General features: G+C 57.0%; 1 protein-coding gene across 1 annotated transcript in view, besides 2 other annotated features; it reads right to left on the bottom strand.

Annotated features, from left to right (window-relative positions):
• KCNIP3 (potassium voltage-gated channel interacting protein 3) overlaps positions 1-16,029 on the bottom strand; it is an 88,731-nt gene that overhangs the window by 70,451 nt on the left and 2,251 nt on the right. The window contains exon 2 of the mRNA NM_013434.5: positions 5,107-5,272. Within this exon, the coding sequence (NP_038462.1) occupies positions 5,107-5,272 (166 nt within the window). The remainder of the gene's footprint in view (positions 1-5,106; positions 5,273-16,029) is intronic.
• Positions 5,945-6,828: an enhancer, noted in NCBI's record as "H3K4me1 hESC enhancer chr2:95974547-95975430 (GRCh37/hg19 assembly coordinates)". NCBI's record gives its function as "activates a minimal SCP1, AML or CMV promoter by ChIP-STARR-seq in naive H9 embryonic stem cells {active_cell/tissue: H9 hESC(naive)}" and the evidence as "EXISTENCE:reporter gene assay evidence [ECO:0000049][PMID:30033119]".
• Positions 8,601-9,486: an enhancer, noted in NCBI's record as "H3K4me1 hESC enhancer chr2:95971889-95972774 (GRCh37/hg19 assembly coordinates)". NCBI's record gives its function as "activates a minimal SCP1, AML or CMV promoter by ChIP-STARR-seq in naive and primed H9 embryonic stem cells {active_cell/tissue: H9 hESC(naive and primed)}" and the evidence as "EXISTENCE:reporter gene assay evidence [ECO:0000049][PMID:30033119]".

Below are 16,029 nucleotides of genomic sequence, written 5' to 3'. Positions count from 1 at the left end.
GTTGCCCACATTGTCTGAAGAAGAGAGGGCCGAAGGCACAGGTTTACACTGATTCATGGATGGCTGTTAACCATTAGTTCAGGGGTCAGGGAGGTGGAGGGGCAGGATCGGGGGAGTAAGGGCTGGGAGGCCTGGGGAGGAACCACCCGGAGTGTGGGACAGCAAGTGCTTCACAAGTGCCCTCCAAGGGGCGCTGGGGCCGAGGAGGCACTGGACGATCAGGTGGGCCAGTGGTCCCCTCTGTGCACCTCACAGCCTCTGTTCCTGGCTCCTCTGGCATTTGCTTGAGAACGAAACACCGTAGATTCAATAAAAGAACTTCTCCCTGGGCCGATCAGGCTGCAGCTGCAGTTCAGTGCCCAGCCAGCCACCAGGTGGCAGGTCAGCCACTCTGCATCCCTGCCATCACTCTGGGGCTCCCATTATCCTCATGGGAGTGATGGTCACTCTGGGTGTGACCTTCCCTCTGGCCTGCCCTGGTGCTGCCAGCACCTCCCCCATCACGGTGCCTCCACGCCATAGATCCCAAGCAACAGACTCATTTCACCACGGAATAGAGCGGTGTGACCAAAGACCAGGGCTCACAGGCTCCCGTCCCCGTCCTGTGCCCACCCCCAGAGGCAGCTGGCCTCACAGAACAGTGATGAGACCCGCTGAAGACTGGTTCTGGCAGCCGTTGCGGGTTCCAGGGCTGCCCTGTCGGGTGCCAGTGACACTGCTGGATGTGCTGCCTCTCCCCCAGCCAGAAGAACAAGCCCGGAGCCCGGGAAAACACGCAAAGGCCCCTCCCTCATCCAGTGCCTGCTCACCGCACCTCTGCTGCTCCTCACCAATACTCCAGGCTCTGGATTAGAGGCTTTAAATTCCCATGGGAGAATGGGTCCCCAGCAGGAGGCAGCAGGGGTTCTGCTAAACTGGAAGCTGGGACGGCCGCCTGGCCATGCTGGGCCCCTCACACCACTCAGACCAACTGGCATCAAGGGCCATCGGCCAGTGAATGACCCTATTATCGAGGGGAGCAGGGAGGACTCTGCTTCAAATCCAGTGAATTCTCCAGGGAGCCTAGCAACACTGCCAGTTACAGTGATGAAAGTCAGTGGGGGCTTCTAGCAACCCCAATGAGGCAGGACCACCCAGGACTCAGATCCCTCAGGAATGGGGGTTTGGATCACTCCACCAAGGACTCAGCCACATCTTTGTGGCTTTAATCCATCTTTAATCCATCTTTGTGGTGGATTAAAGATGGCCACAGATGTCATACTACAACCCCATGGAAAGGGGTTAATTCTCAGAAATCCTTGAAAATTTGCACTGATCTGACATCTCACTTTGATATCATGTATCTTGATGCTTCATGATGTCAATTGTATCCTGTATCTTCAAATACGCGAAAATTCTGTTTATAGATCTTTACGTATTAGAGACGAGTTAACTCACCTTTTGTTCCGATGCCTTTCTGCTACCCCTCTTTCCCAGGAGCACTGGTGGTGGTGTCTTTATGATTTTACGTGGGGTTGCCATGGCACCCCGGGGAGAATGAGCATCTCCCTGGGATGCATCGGCGACTGAGGAGGATGTGGGTCTTCTCTCTGGGGGAGGGGCATGTGCATGCGTGTGTGTAAGTATGCGTGTGTGTGTGCTCATGTGTGTGTGTATGTGTGTGTGCTTGTGTGTGTATGTGTGTGTGTGTGTATGTGTGTGTGTGTGTGTGAGGAATGGCTGCACCGTGTCACACAGAAGCGTGCAGCAGCTGCTAGAGCGTTCCTGCCAGAGTGGTCCAGGATGCCAGGCATCTCCCAAGGCGCTAGGTGGGGCCCTGGCTTCGTCCCATTCAGACCTCGTTCTCTGGTCCTCCGGAGTTTCTGTGAACTTCCTGAGGCCTGGAGCCCACCCTGTTTCGGTTGTCTGCAGCTGGGACCCCAGGTTATTTGTGGGTGACATTATTATTCCAGTTGAAGAAACCCAAGTCCCACAGCCCTTGTGGGCATCAAACTTGAGAAACAGGTCTGTCCAGTTGTGGCACTGGCCATGCCTCTGGAGAGGCATCCTGCAGGGAGAGGCTTTAGATGCAGGGGAGGCATGCAGGGCAGGCCAGAGTCCCAGCTTCCGGGTCATGGAAGAGGGTCCAAGGAGCTTCTAGGCTGAGGATGGGGCGCCTCTCCTGGGTAGGGTGGGGCCAGGCTGCCTGTGCTCTGAGTCTCCTGGGCTCCCCTCTTAGAGGCCCCACTGCTGGCCACCTCCTGACTCCATCCTGGGGTCTTCACACCCAGAATTGGCCACCCAGGGCCCAGCCACAGATGCTCTAGCCCTTGCCCACTGTCTCCAGGACCCTGGGTCCTGTCCACTCCTTGCCGACGTTCTACCTCACCCAAGCCTCCAGGACTCCCAGGCTGGGCCTTGGCTTTCACTCCCAGCTGTTCCCGACATGTGTCTCTGGCCCCACTTCTGCTGAATGGAAAAACCCCAGTACAAGGGCACAGTGTCTGGGCCGCCCCCCTCCCACAGGACCCCAAGGCTCAGGACACCGTGCTGGGCCTCGCAGAGCACACAGTGGGGCTGCACTGAATGGGCCCCATTGTTCTTTGCACCCAGAGCCTGTGCCAGCTCCCAAAGAGGGGGGATGCCTCATCTGCACACCGCGCAGCACTTCACACGTGCACAAAGCCCTCAGTGTGACCACACCAGCCCGGCCTCCTTGCGGGACACACACGGGACGTGTTTGGACTGAAGAGAGGAGACCCGGGAGCTATGGCCAAGGGAGACAAAGGGCACATTGGAGTCCCGGCTCCTCTGTCCGTGAGGTCCCTGGGCTCCCTCGTCCCTCAGCTCCCACCAAAGACGCTCGTCAGGGTGGGCACCGTGGAGCTCTGGGCCCGAGCCTCCCCCACCCCAACCCCCGCTTCTTGTGCCATCTGCTGAGTCACGTGACCTCTCTGAGCTGCCATGGACGCTCTGGTAAATCAGGGTGATGAGCTCCACACTGCCTTCCTTGCACAATCAAATAGGCTCTTGGATGTGTCGTTCACATCTGCTCCCAGTGCCGGCACAAGGTCCGGTAAACACATCCATGCAGGGGAACAAACCCATCGCTGGTGCCCTGGCCCAGCCCTGGCCCTGTCTCCTGTGCGCCTTTGACAAGTTGTTCAGCAAACGTGTCCTGACAGCTGGGTGTGGAAAGGCCCTGCCCTCTAGGAAGCTTCCGTGAGGTGGGATGGGGCATGCAGGGGTGGGCCGTGCAGGGGTGGTCCCCCCCGCCCTGACTTGAACACGCCATGCCGGCCCCTCTGTCACCTTTCTCCCCGTCCACCCCACTCAGCATAGCTGCTGCTGTCACGGGTGTGCAGAAAGCTTCGGCAAAGGATGCACACCAGCCCCACCCGTCCTGAGCCACCTCTGCCTGCCAGAGAGAGACGGGAGGATGAGGCTGAGCATCTGCAGGACCTGAGGGATGGAGGGAGGGTACCACTGCAGCACCCCTTAAATACTTGTTGCCACCAAGAAAACCCTGGAAGACTGAAGTGGAGGAAATCTGAGTCTCGAGCGACCTGAAGCTGTGCCCGTCAGAGTGGACCTGAGCCGCCAGCACATGCGATGGCCACCGTGCTCTCGCCCCCACCCTAAGGGAGAGCAGGCGCATTTTCATTCTGATGCAGAATGAACAGTGCCCTGAAGGCGGTCCTTCCCGGTCGAGCTATGTGCATGTGCTTTTAGTGACCTCATCATGTTTCTGCTACCTGCAAAACCTGCCACCCCCATCCCCGAGAAGTTGGGGGTGCATGTGGAACTCACTCATGCATTCACAGGTGCTAGCGCTTCCATGGGAAGGGGTTGGGGACAAGTCTCAGCCAAGGTGACAGCATCACAGATGGGTAGGGGCTCTGTGGGGAAGCAGAGGTGGTGGTGGCAAAAGGGAGGGGGCTGGAATCGTGCTGGGAGCACCCTGGAGTGGCATTTGTGGGTAAAGGACGGGGATCTGGTGCGTAGCAGCCAGTCCCTTTGTGCACAGGCATGGACCTCTGGCTGTGGCTGTCAGCCACTGTGCCTGCTGTTTGCCCAGACCCCTCAGTTGATCCCCTCCACTCATGACCCCCATCAAGCCTAGGAGGCTGGGACCCCGATCATGCCCATTCTCCTGGCCAGGGGACAAACGCTCCCTGGAAATCACACAGCTAGAGAGGGTCCAAGAGAGCAAACAAGATGCAGCTGTCAAGGGCAAGTCTGCACCTTTTCCTTAAAGTCAGAGGCAGACTCTTATACGCACCATACTCACATGTGTGATCCCATGAGTGTGCATGGTGTGTGGGTGCCTGCATGTGGTGTGTGTATGTGAGTATGCAAGTGTGTATGGTATGCCTACCTATGTGTGCATGATGAGTGTGCAAGCTTGTGTGTGGTAGAGGCACCGGTGTGTGTGCATAGGTGTGAGTGTGAGGTGTCTGAATGTGTGTGTGAGATCGTGGGGGCCGCATGAGGCTGCCATTGTCTGTTCAGCCCTGTTATACTCGGCAAACACCAAATATCACCCATGGCAAGCCCAGGGCAGTGATTTCTGCCCGTTCTCTCGTTAACACACCACCAGAATGCAGCCCAAGGCAAAGAGCCAGCACCAATCCTTGGGGTGCACTGAACAGGACCAAGGAGGGGCTGAGGGTGGGGCCTCCTGATCACCAGGCACTGCACACATTATTTCCCATCTTCAAATGTGCCCTGTGGACAGGTTCCAGCCTGGCTTCTCACGGAAGGCTTAGAAAGGATCAATGAGGTGCCCCGGCTTACTCAGGGCGTGAGCAGTGGGCAGGGTGGAGCCTGGTTTGTTGGACTCTGCAGCCTGGCTCTGTCTTCCTAGCCAACTGGAAAACCGCAGTGTGGTCCCAGCTCTCTGTACCCATGCTCTGTGGGTCCCACTGGGAGCTCAGTGGCCTGTGTGAAGCAGGCACTCAATGAATGGGGAAGGGTGTGAATGAATGAAAACACACCTCCAATAGAGACAGGGGCGATGTAGCCCAGGCTGGGGTCCCAGGCTGGCCTTTGAGCCCTCAGAAAGGACAGTGCTCAGAACAGATCTCCCCACCCCCACCCTTGACCACAGCCCACCCTGGCCCCTACCTGAGCCCTGTGGGGCTGTGCTGGACAGGATCCACTTGACCAGGCAGCATCTCATCAAAGCCTGGCGGCTGAGCCTCGGCCTCTGCCACTTGATACCCTCCTTCTTGCTAAGTGGTGTGTGCCCGAGGTCCCCCAGGAGGCTGCCGTCCGACGCCTTTGTCACTTCCTGCAGTAGGAACAGGCAGAGCAGCCCTGAGCCCCTGCTCAGAGGGGGGACCCCTGGATGGTCCCGAGCTGCCCTGATATCCTAGATGAGGCCAGCCTGAACACAACAGAGGGCTCACCTTCCGGGGCTGCATGCCTAGTGCCCCTTGTCCTGGCCATTCCTGCCAGACCTGGGGAGGTTCCTTTCACTCTACACCCTGGCTATGGTGTAAGATGGGACCCCTGGAAGAGGGGCAGACAGGGGTGCAGAGAGGGGATGTCAGCAGTGATCCCAGACTTACTCATTGGATTCTCCACCTTGGCACAGGCCAGGTTGTCGGAGCTGGACAGCCCCTTAGAAATCACGATCCCAATCCCTCATCTGCCTGAAAACCAGAGAGGCAAGTGGATCTGTACAGGGTCACACAGCCACGTCTGGCTCCCTCACTCCCCCAGCAGGGCCCCTGCTCTGCCTGAGTTTTCATGCTGAGGCAAGCTGAGAATGAATGAAAGGCTGGGTGGTGACCCCAGGAGGGCTGCACTGGTGGAACCGACCACTGAGGCTGGCAGGGATCTGAAGAAACAGCTCCAGCTATGGGCAGGAGAGTCTTGGGAGGAGTGAGTCATGGGTGGTCATTAAGAGGCAGTGGATCAGCCGGGCGTGGTGGTTCACGCCTGTAATCCTAGCACTTTAGGAGGCCGAGGCAGGCGGATCACCTGAGGTCAGGAGTTCGAGACCAGCCTGACCAACATGATGAAACCCTGTCTCTACTAAAAATACAAAAATTAGCCAGACGTGGTGGCATGTGCCTGTAATCCCAGCTACTCAGGAGGTTGAAGCAGGAGAATTGCTTGAGCCCGGGAGACGGAGGTTACAGTGAGCTGAGATCATGCCACTGCACTCCAGCAAGGCCAACAGAGCCAGACTGTCTCAAAAAAAAAAAAAAAGCAGTGGGCCATGTGCCTGAGTCGGTGTGGATCAGAAAACAACCTCCTGGGGTCATGGTGGAGGCCCCAGGGCAGCAGGATTTGCTCTCCTACAACGTATTTCAGGCCCCCCAATCCTGACATCCAAACTGCCCACCATGCTCAGTTCCCATGCTGGCAGCTGGCCCATGAGGCACAGAGGAGGGAGGTGCACCGCAGGCTGCCGCTGGCCACACCTCTGTGCACCTGCTGGGTCTAGTTTGCTGCCTTTGTGCTGTCCTCTCCTGCTCGGGGTGGCAGGGGGACAGGTGTGGTCTGGCCCATTGGACCACAGCCCACCAATGGCCCTCATTTTGTCTGTGACGCACTGCCTGACCTCTAGCTGTGGCAGTGGCACCACCCCCACATGCATATGTGTTCTGAGCAGTTGGGTTCCTTGGCCAGTAAAGAGGGCCACTCAGGGGGTGGGTTGTCCATACCCTTCCCAGGTCACAGGGTCTCGTGTGTGCTACCTTTGCACGGTCCTGAAAAGTATTTGGTTGTTCAAAGTAAATAACAGATGGACGGGGCCGTCAAGCAGCTTCTACAGAGGCAGCCCTGGAAGACAGCCCCTGTGCTAGTTGGACTGTCAGGTGCAAGAGCCAGAGACTGACCCAGGTTGATTTGAACTGGAAGAATTGGCAGCAGGGAGCCCGGGCCAGTCACAGCCTGCAGGGAAGCACAGAGAGCCAGTCCTGGAAAGCAGACGAGATCAGAGAGCAGCGCCGGACACCAGCCCTGGCCATGCCCGTCCACACAGAGCCCAGCGACAGGGCTCTGCTGCTGCTGCAAAGGCTGGCCCCTCTCCCGAGGCATGGGCCTGGCACCCCCACTGGTCTCTGCACACTGCAGGCTCCAGCTGGGGGAGGATTCTCTGGGTGCTTCACTGGCTCATGGTCCCCTGAGGCCTATCCACATTCGGGATGGGCAGCTGGCCCACTAGTCAGTGTTTGATGAAGTGGTCCCCTAGGCAGGGAGATGTCCAGTTCCCTTATCCTGGCTTTTGGGCCTTCCCCAGCTAGGTCCCAACTACCAGTCCTCCAGCTCACAGTCATCATCCACCCTTCCTCCGACACACCCTTGGCAACAACCCCTGCACGTCCCTCCCCTTCTCCAAGGCTCACCAAGCAATGAGGGGGCTCAGTGGTGCCCAGAGCTGCAGCAAGAAGAGGCACTGACCATGCTGATGGAGCAGAAACAGGGGGAGAGCTGGGGGTGGACGGGTGCCTGGGGTGCTGAGGGAAGCTCCCTATGTGCACACGCTATGCACACACACGTGTACAATGCTCACATGCACACACACGCACACACATGCACACAAGTACACATGTTCATATGCACACACAAGCACACATGCATAGGCACACACACGTACACATGCTCATATGCACATGTGCTCACACATACATATGCACACACACGTCCTGTCAGGCTGGGTCAGAAACGCACTTTCTCCATTATTCATGATCTTATTCAGGAGTCTTTATTTTGGTTAAGGAGGGTCGTAGGGGAGAGAGGGGCAGCAGGTGCTTCATTACATCACAAATTCTTTGCTGCAGGCTCTGCGTGGGGGGTGAGCAGAGGACATCAGAAGAAACTGAGGCGGCCTCGGAGCCCCTGGCAGGAGCTCTTCACTGGGACCCCCAGCCCCGTCTGCAGCCCATCTCAGAACAGCACTGGCTTGGCTGGCAAGGCTGCTTCTCGGGGCCCAGGGTTAGTCACAGGGATTCTGTCTTGAAGCCCCAGGCCCAGGTCGTGCGGGAGATCCCATGGGTGTCCTGGGTTCTAGCTCACAGGGCTCAGTCCTCCCGGGAAGGCTGGGTGAGCCCAAAGGGCAGGCTGAGCACCTCCCAAGTGGATGTCTATGTTGAGCTGAAAGTAATCTCGTCACGACAACCCCCTGCAATCGGTAAGACGATCCCCATTTCACAGATGAGGAAACTAATTCCCTGAGAAGTTTTGGGACATGCCAGGGCCACACTACACATATAGTCTTCTGATTCCAAAGTTCACATGGGCTTGACCACAGGCTTTGCTGCTGAGGCTGTTTCTCGGCCTGGGTCCCTGGGGCGGTCTCTGGAGCTGGGTGTGTTCCGAAGCCCCTCAGGCACATCAGCAGCCTTCCAAAAATATCCGTTGAGGAGTGCTGTGATGCCCTCCTGGGCTAGGGGGCCCCAGTGTGTCTTTTCTCCCTGTGGAGAGAGTCTGGGTGGAGTGGTGGTGGGGGTTCCGGGCCAGGCTCCTCCATCTGGCTGAGGGGCCAGAATCCCACCTGTGAGCCCCACAAGGCAGGCCCATGATGGGCACCCCTCTTTGTGAGGCAGGGGGTGGGTTCTGAGAAGAGAAGGGAGGGGAGGGCCAGGGACAGGAGGGCAGGGAGACCCCAGCAGCCGAGCCTGGGAAGCTGGGACTCATCAGGCTGCGGCCTGGGCCCTCAGGCTGCTGGGGAGGCGGGAGGAGGTCATCCTCATGAATATCTGACACTTGTCTGTCTGGAAGAGGGTCTGACTGAGCTGTCAGGGAATGTTAAATAGCAGCCCAGGCACCCTCCTGCTGGCTTGGGAGGCTCACAGCATGGAAGGGAGGGCGTCCTAAGAGGCGGCCCCCTGGCCCCTCACCCCACAGTGCCTTGGTGCTGGGAGAGAAGCTGGGGCAGTGATGAGATGGAACATGAATTAGATGCCCCAACCCTGCCGGGAGCCCCAGTGCCTCCTTGCCAGGCCCTGACAGCCCCACCGTGCCCCTCCAAGTCTGCTCCCACACCACCGCCTTGGCACCTGCTGCTCCTGGCACTGGACACTTCTGCCCCAGGCGTTTAAGGCCTCACTCACGGCTCAGGTCCTAGAAGAGCCCTGCCTGACTACCTAGGCCACCCTCCCCCATGCACCTCCATCTCAGCACTTCTTCACCCAGCCCTTGTGAACTGATCCTATTATTGTGTTTTCTGTCTCTCCCCTTTAGCGCATCAGCTCTGCGAGAGTGGAACCTGATCCTCATGTGACCTGCTTTTCCTCGTGACACAGCCTGGCACCCAAGAGATCCTCACTCCCAAAACTCAACAGTAAAAGAGCAAACCATCAGGTTAGAAAATGTGAAAGACATGCACAGACATTTCACCAGAGAGGACACGTGGATGGCAAAGGCGGCGGGAAGAGATGTTCGCCGTCATTAGCCATTCTGGCAACGCAGAGGAGGACCGCTGTGAGACACCACCATGTGCCTGTCCGAACAGCTAGAACCAAAGATAATGACAACTGAAAGCTGGTGAGGATGTGGAGAAACGGAATCACCCCTCCATTGTCGGTGGAAAGGGAAAACGCCTTAGCCACTCTGGAGAACAGTCTGGCAGCTTCCTATAAAAACTAGGCATGCGCTACCACAGAGCCCGACCACGGTATTTTTGGCCGTTTATCCTGAAGAAACGAAAAGTTATGTTCAAGTGAAAACATGTACACAAATGTTCATGGCAGCTTTACTTGGAACGGCCCCATACTGGAAGCAACCCAATGCCCTTCAATGGGTGAATGATTAAACAAACTCCAGTGCATCCATACCACGGAATTCTGGACAAGTAAAACAAACAAACTGTTGGCGCACACCACACCTGCGTGAACCTCCAGAGAATTACGCTGAATGAAAAAGCCAACCCAAAAGGTCACATTCTGTGTGATTCTATTTATATAACATTGTAAAATGACAAAGTTTTAGAAATGGAGAACAGATTAGAGGGCCAGGGGTTAAGGATGGGGGGAGGCAGGCAGGAGGGAGAGGGGTGTGGCTCTCACAGGGCGGCAGGAGGGGCCTTGAGGGGACAGAGCTGTTTTGCATCTTGATGGTGCTGTTGAGTGCCTGAACCTACACGTGATAAAAATTGTAGCAAAAAATGCACACGGAAATGAGTGCGTGTGAACTGGGAAATCGGACTAGGACTGGTGGGTTGCATCATTGCAGACACTCCAGTTGTGCTATTGTGTTGTAGTTTTGAAATATGCTGTCATTGGGGAAACCAGGTTAAGTGTACATGGGCCCTCTTTGTGAGCTCCTGCAACTGCATGTGAATCTACAACGAGCTCAATAAAGATTTCCATCAAAAAATACTCTCATGCACCCAAAAAGAAGGTGTTAAAAACGCAAGCATGCACAAGGCTCTGAATAAATATTCACGAATGATCAAAAGTCCCCTGTGCTCTTCACAATTCACCTGGGGCTCTCTCCTCCCACTCCTGCTCGATGCCGGCCTCATTTTAATGGGTGACAGAACTGTCATTGTCTACCAGCTTTAGAGGATGGCCAGGGTTGAGTGGCAGAGACGAGTGAAGCCAGAAGATCTGGGCCCTGGGTTCAGGCAGAGTCCCTGGTGGCATACTTGGCAGTGTGGGCATTTAGGGCTGTGTCCCAGAAACGGCCCTAGGCTGGCCCTGGGGACCTGCAGCCTTCTCAAAGGTCACAAGTTTCCCTGAAGGATAGAGGCTGCTGGTGAGCCAGGCAGGCCATTCTCTGCCAGTCACCTGGTGGCCGAGATCTGTAGCTCCTGCCCAGCCAGGCAGGCCAGGACCAGGCCTCAACTTCCTTCTAAGTCCTCCTGGCCTGTGGGGAGCCAGGGAGGGATGGAAAAAGATGGCGTGGGTGATGCCCCTGCTGTGTGCTGGTGCTGAGTTAGTTGTTTGGAGGGGTTATCATATTTAATGGTCACACCAACTTTTTGAGGTTCCTTAGAACCTCAAAATTACCCAAAGCACCCAACTGAGCCCCAAATCCGGTAATGGATTCTAGCTCACCCGTTCTCATGCAGCTTGCCAGGGTCCCTGGGGTATGCGTTCTCCTGTTATTCAACAGGGGTAAACCCAGCCTGTTCTGAGTCAGCTGCGTCCTGGGGGCTTTGGCCTGAGGTCTCTGGCAGTGGGGAGCTGCACCTACGAGGTGCAGGAGATGACTTAGACTCGGGGCCAGCACACTCTCCAGCTCCCCACTGCCATTCTCTTTACAAAGGGAGGGCACGGCCTCAGCTCAGAGCCTCAACAGGCCACAGACCATGGGTGGGAGTTTATCGCTGCTGCCTTATTTCATGGCAATGTGGTGGTTACCTTCCACTTCTGCTCCCGGCTTCCCACTTACAGTACTGATTTAAAGATTCCCTTTTAAATGAATTCACTAAAATTCAATGCATGAGTTAATTTAAAGAAAAATAATAAGAAACAATAGCACAGGTCACAACAGATACAGCAAAACGGTAAAGGCAGGAAGTGTATGTTTCTCTCTGTGGCTGAGGCTGGGGGCTTGCTCGACTCAGCCAGGCGACCCCTCAAGTCTGAGTGACGGCGGCCTCTCGCCAGGCTGCTGAGACTGACATGTGGCTGGTCCACACTGAGACGTGCCCTCGTGTAAACACACACTGGGTTCCAAACATTTACTTACTAGACTATCAAATAGTTCATTAAAAATGCTTTATATCAATTGCAGGTTGAAATGATAATCATTTACACTGGGTTTAATAAAACATATGGTTAAAATAATTTAACCTTTTTTTCTTTCTTTACTGTGCCTACTGGCACATTTTAAGTGACATCTGTGGCTTGCATCATGTCTCTATTGGACAGGACTGATCCGGATGGTTCTCAGACCTGCCAGCCGGCAGGCTTGGGGCAGCATCCTCCTGGCAGGGCACAGCCGCCCCAGCTGCTCTCTGCCACTCAAGTCCAGCTGGACTCGCAGCTGCCTCAGAAGGGTGGCCTGGTGGAATGTGCAGATCAGATTGGGGGTTCGATGAGGCAGGCGGCCATCTGGGGGAGGCGAGGGATGCCCAGGCCCAGGAGAGCGGGGGAAGGCTGAGCCAGGCGGAGGTCATGGCTGGGTGCTGGGGATATTATGGAGACAGGTACTCAGGACCTACTCTAGATGTGGCCAGTGAGGGAGGGGCGGCGACTTCCCAGTGCCTGAGAAAACTGTCACTGCGGGAATGTAGGAGGCAGGGCTGTCCCCCATGCCTTCCTCTCCCCCTGAACACAGTCCAGTCTCTGCCGCAAACACCACACCATCATCCCGAGAGTTTCCACACCACAGACAGAGGCTGAGCACTTGGAACAAACCTCCAGGACCTGGACCGGACATTTTGCCTCGTGGCTCCCTACACTCTAGGTCCCCTGAGAGGCCAGGTGGCCCACGGAGCAGCGTCCCACTCCTTGCCCCATGCCCAGCATGGCACAGCTTCGTCTTGAGGAGGCCCATCTGGCTGAGAAGATGGAGTCAGACTGTCAGGAGTGTGCCAAGGTGAAACCCTCGAGCCGCTAGTTCAGTCTCCATGGTTCTCATCAACTGTGCTCCAGAGAAACTCCCAGAAAGCCTTCCAGAGCAGATGTGGCAGAGGTGACTGGGGGGCACATGACAGCCTGTGAGAAGTGGGGGTCCTGGAAAACCTGCGTTAAAGTATCCAGGCTCCCGGGTGGCGTTCTAGGAGTACATGCATGGGCAAGATGCATCGCTGACTCCTCCCAGATGTCTACAGACTTAACGGATGCAAAACAGAAGTGAGTGGCTTCGTATGTGCCACCAGGGCCCCTGGGTGTGGGCTCAGAGGGCACGGCTAGTTGGGGGCAGGGCAGGAGATCGAAGGCAGGTGGATGTGATTTCCAGCAGCCGAGGACAGTGGGAGGGGTCTGTGGCCAACCAGTTACATGAATCCCGCACCCTCGCTTCCCAGCTCGGTGACCCTGACAGAGAACCTGACAGCTCCGAGCCTCAGTTTACTCATCTGCAAAATGGGGGTGACAATGTGCCCTCACAGGGTTAAGGGGAAGGCAAGGTGACAAAGCCCCCAGTGGGGGAGAGTCAGTGTTCCTCGCCCTTCTGATCCCAGGGAGGGTCTGGCTGTCCAAACCCACAGCCTAGCATGCCTGGCAGGGAGGCCCAATGTGCCGCTCTCAGCTGCCACATGCCAGAATCACGTGGGGAGGCTCTCACCATCTGCCTGCCCAGGAGCTGGATTGTTTGATGCAGAGAGGGCTGGGCTACTCTGTTCTTATAAAGCTCCTCAATAGATCTGAAAATGCAGCTTGGGGAATTTGTTTAGAGTGTCTGTCCCTCCAGATAGAAAATTCTTGGCCTTGCCTGAAAGGCAAAGGGGGTCCCCCGATTCTCACCCCCTTCCTTTCCGGAAGGGCTTCACCGAGGCCAGGGCCAGCATGAGACATCCAGGCTACTCAGATGTGGGGCTCCCCACCCCCCACCCTGTCCACGGCTGCTGCGGTGCAGACTGGCCCACCCAGCACTGCTTGCTGTCACTGGCTCTATTTCCATCACTCGGGACAGATGGCAGGAAGCAGTGGTGGGCGTTGTGTCGTGCAGGCCCCAGGGTATGGAATGGGGAAGCTTTGGGGAGCCTGGATTCTCCACCCACCCCTGGGCACAGACAGACATAGGCAAGGCAGCTCGCCTTGTCGGGGGAGCCGAGGTTGTCATGAGTCCCTGAAGATGCATGTGTGCACATATGCACATACACACACACGTACACATGCCTGCAAACACACCTATGAGCGCGCACACACACACACACACACACACAGCCCTGGGCCCCAGCCCTCTGGCAGCACTGGAGCAGGAGAGCTGGGCTGTCCACCCCTGCTCTGATGGCTGCCACCTTGACAAGGACAAGCTCCCCATGCTGCCTGGCAGTGAGGGTGTCACGTTAACCCAGGGGTGAACTTGAGTTGCCCATGGCCAAATTGCCTCTTGGTGGCCTTCCCAGGCTCTCCTCAACAGTCAGAAGGGATGGCATAGGTATTCCCTTCATGTGTGGAGGCCTCACTCTGTGCCAGGGGCCAGGCCAAGCTGGTTGGTATAGGATCACATTTATCTGGGGGTTCTGTGATATTCATACTTCCCCCAGGAAAATGAGGACACAGTGGCACAGATGAGCTAAGTAACCTGTCAGAGGACACACAGCCAGTGTGTGACAGGGCCTGGACTGAGCCCAGGTCTGCTGGTGCAGTCAGGGCTCACAGCCAACAAGGCACAGCCATGATGCCTCTTGGCCATGCCTGTCTCCTGCCCGGGGTCCTTTAGTCCCGCACAGTGAGGATCAGGGCTCTGCGCAAGACCCATGGACATTTGTGTGCACATGTGGGGCACTGCTGGCAGTGGCCCTGACTTGAGTCAGCCAGGCCCGTGCCTCCCAGCCCTGCACTGCTCATCACAAGGCCTGGCAGATGCTGTGAGCATCTCTCAGACCCAGATGGGAAGACTGAGGCCCTGAGTCAGTGGGGCAGAGGTGGGGCTACAGTTTGGTTCTCTGGAGCACTGTCCAGAGTGCCCATCTTGAGAGAGGATCCCACGACAGAGCTGGGCACAGGGGCATGTGGCACCAGCAGCAGAGGACTGGGATGCAGGGGACTTGTCCCTTGCCTACCCTGGCATCTGCCTACTGTCCATGTGATAAAGGCTGGGGAAGGCTGGGGGCGTTGGGCAGGCTGGGAGGTGAGGCCAGAAAAGACCAGCAGCTGCTTTTCCTGGCTGAGCCTGGCCCAGGCATGGCCAGGCTGATGGAGAGGGCATGCTGGGCAGAGAGCTGAGGTGGCAGGTCAGAGGGGGAGGCTGGGCCGACTCTAGTGTGGGACACGCCACCCCCACGCTGCCCTCCCGTCTCAGCTCAGCTGCTCCCTCTCCAACTCTGCAGGTCCCCTTGCTTCTTTCCCTGCCACAGGGCTGCTCTTTGGCCTTCTAAGGCATGGGCTGATCTCAGATGACAGACGCACCTGCTCAAAGGCAACATCAGTCAGCTGAGGCCGGGAGCCCTGGGCAGGAAGCAGCACGGGACTCGCCCCATGCTGTGCCCTCCCCCGACTCTCAGGCTCCTGCCTGCCCCAGGTCTGGGCACTAGGCCAGAAAGACGTGCTAACTTCTCTCCCCTCTTCTGCTTCACCTTGGAAACTGAGAGTGCTTTCTTCCGTGCAGAAGCCACATTGGCTGCTCCTGGAAGTCACTGGGATGCCCAGGGGTGGGCTGGGGAGGGCAGGGGGGCTCTAAGGCCCCTCTGCTAAGTCAGTAAAGCAGTTCCCTGCCTCACACAGAAGGTCTTGATAAGACAAGGCAGCCTGAATTTAAAATGTTGGGGTCCTTTACTTCCTAGCTCTGGATCCACAGTCCAAAAATGGGAGGCAGCTAGCTCCAGGTCACGTGGCTAACGCAGGGGATGCGGCCAGGTGGAGTCTGGCTTGTGTGCACTCACTGGAGGGCTCAGAGGGCACAACAGACCACCGGCCGCACGGCTGGGATGGGCCCCTCCTCTGCCATCTGGTTAAAGGCATGCCCTTCTCCTCCTGCGTCTTCTTCCGCAACCCCCAAGCCCTAGGGACTTGCTGCGCTCTGGAGTAAGACAGAGCAGGGTTCAAATCTCAGCCACAACTCTTGTAGCCTGCAGTCTGGGGCAGGCCTCTGTTTCCCCATCTGTGAAGTGGGGATGATACCAACAGCTGCCTTGTGGGCTGCGTGAGGGTCCAGGGAGATAATGCGGGAGACAATGTCCTAGATGGGCGTTGGTACCCTCAGGCTTCTGGCTCTCAGCTCTGCCCTTCTCCTGGGCTCTACCTGGAGGGCTGAGGCAGAGCCCCTTTCTTCCCAGTGCAGCCTGGGGTCTTTTGAAATGTGGGAGCAAATTAGGGCCCATCTCGCACAGTGCCCTGCAACAAGGCTGGAAGCCAGGCAAAAGGGGTTCCCAGTGCACGGGCTGAGCTGTGAAGACACCACAGCCTCAACACCGCGACAGCAGCGCCTGTCGCAGAAACTGCGGGTCTTTCGCTCCTTTCTCCTAAGAGCTCATGG

This window comes from Homo sapiens, chromosome 2 (assembly GCF_000001405.40).
Source record: "Homo sapiens chromosome 2, GRCh38.p14 Primary Assembly".
NCBI lineage: Eukaryota > Metazoa > Chordata > Mammalia > Primates > Hominidae > Homo > Homo sapiens.
The sequence above is the reverse complement of the archived record's forward strand: the minus strand, read 5'-3'. Positions and strand labels throughout refer to the sequence as shown.